Genomic DNA, 2,569 nt, shown 5'->3' with positions numbered 1-2,569 from the left:
TTTTAGAATTAAGTTTTGATTTTAAGTTTTAATGTTAGGTTTTGTAATTGTTATTTTAGGTTTGGAGGTATTTCTGACACAGTGATAAATAACCCAAATATTTATCAACCTAAAATAAGTTAAACATTTTTTTCTATCTGTAATCCAATTCTTACAATGTACTTTCTTCATTTAAATGTATAAAGGAGAGCCATATAATAGGAAAAAACTTTAATTGGAAAATCTTTAACAAAGAGACAAAAATAGAAAATAAAAAAGGAAATAATTACCACTCTGTGGTTGAATTAATTAACTAAAATTGATAGGATAGTATGGTACTTCACTCACAAATTTTTTTTGTCATTTATAATCATCCAAAACATTAAAAGTTAGAAAATGAATAATTTAATATCCTGACATTCTAATTAGTATGTTGATGTCTCAGTAATACTGTCAAGCTAATCAATATAAAAATCAATTGTCTGGTTACTTCATTACTGTTTCTTTTTTAATAGCATAGGCACATTTGGAATATAGTAAAATTAACACTAAAAAGGAAAGATTATTTACTTATACTAAAGCATATTTCTTCTCTTCTACAAGAAAACAAATATTTTTGAAAGAAAATAGGTAATTTAATCAAGACCTCTACCTCCTTGCTATCTCATGAGAACACCGTGCTACCGTAAATTAACATAACCTTATTCCCTCCTTTTTCCTCCACCCTAGCCAGCTGCTCCCCACTTACAGATTATTGCTCTCCACGTTTCAATGCCTCAAGTTCATCATATCCTTCTGGCACCTCATTATAGTGACCAACAATCCCAGTTTGTCCAGGAATGAGAGGTTTCTAAGGATGTGGGACTTTCAGTACTAAAACTGGAACAGGCACGGTCCAAATCCAAATCTTGTCGACATCATAACATCCACCTTCTTGCCACTGTCCAAATGGACTGCTACACCCATATGGATGATCCAGTCAACACTAGTTTCACACAGTCGCCGGCATCCTCTGACCCACTCACACTCCACTTCTGCAGCCCACTCCCACGATCACAGCACAATTCACAAGCAACGCATCACCCCTACCCTCACACATTTTCCCCAACCACATCTCCATGTCCTTCCTGCTCACTTACTCCATTATCCCCACTACACAGGCTCTTTGTGTCCATCAAAGTTCCTTTTTATCCCAGGCCTTTAAACTCTTTCTAGTTTCAATTTTCTTCCCCTAAAATACTTTGCCCTCCAATTATACCAACCTATCTGCACTTCCTATAGCCCACCATGTCTTTCTTTCACTTCTATGACTTTACACATATTTACCACATCTGAAATGTCTTTCTATACCCTGTGTTTCTACTGGCAAATTTCTATGCAACTAACACGTTACCTCTGCAAAGTTGCACCAGATTTCCTCAGGCATAGTTACTCCCACATCCATGCTGGTACATACCTGTCTGCTTGAAGATACAGTTTTTTTTATATTATTTATGTACAATACTATAAGCATTTATATTTCCCTCACTAACATATGAACCTAAGCACGGGTAAATATGTCATAACGATTATATTCCCAGTTTTTTTTTTTTTTTTTTTTTTTTGAGATATGGTCTCACTCTGTTGCTCAGGCTGGAACAGCTCACTACAGCCTTGATCTCCCAAGCTCAAGCAATTCTCCGGAATCAGCCTCCCAAATAGCCTGGGATTACAGGCGTGCTAACGCGCCACCATGCCCAGCTGATTTTTAATTTTCTGTAGAGACTGGGTCTCATTATGTTACCCAGGCTGGTCTCAAACCCCTTAGCTCAAACAATCCTCCTGCCTTGGCCTCCCAAAGTGCTGGGACCACAGGCGCGAGCTACCACACACAGCCTGTATTCCCAGTTCTTACCACAATACCTGATGCAATGTTTACTGACTGAAATATACAAACTATGGAAAGTGACAATATTCAAACTGAAGAAATACAGAAAAGCTTAGAATAAGAGAAAAATAAATATTCTGTGTGATGAAACCCCAAAAAACTAAAAATTATTAATGATAGGATGTAATAAAATAAATTCATCAAAAGATAAAGAACAGATTAATTCACGAAAAGGCACAAAAATTCATACACACAAAATAATGTTCAATTCCGCTAATAATTAAAGAACAGTTAAGAAGTTGCTAGACCAACAAGCAGTAATAAGGCAGTCCTAGAATTGGCACTGTGACAGAGATAGAGGGAAAACATGCAATTAAGAAAGATAGAAAGGAAATACCAAGAAGTTATGACAGAATCATGCCTGAGTGAATGTAACAGCAGTGCCTTTAATAAAAATCATCTTTCCTGACAGTTTCTCCAGATGAGCACAAGGGTAGTTAAACAAATTAAAGAAATAATACTTCTCTATTAATTTGATATAATAATTTAAGAAGCTATTTTAACTTAAATTTTTAAAAAATCTTTATAATTCTTTAGACCATCACCTCTCCAGCCCAGTAAGCTGTCTTGACTTGACGCTCAGAATATGTTAAGGGGAGAGGGGAACGATTTGCAACATCACCAACAGCACAGCAGCAGATGGGCTCTGTGCTATTAGCAGTT

The sequence above is a fragment of the Homo sapiens genome, chromosome 6, assembly GCF_000001405.40.
Source record: "Homo sapiens chromosome 6, GRCh38.p14 Primary Assembly".
Classification (NCBI taxonomy): Eukaryota; Metazoa; Chordata; class Mammalia; order Primates; family Hominidae; genus Homo; species Homo sapiens.
Note: the sequence above shows the minus strand (reverse complement) of the source record.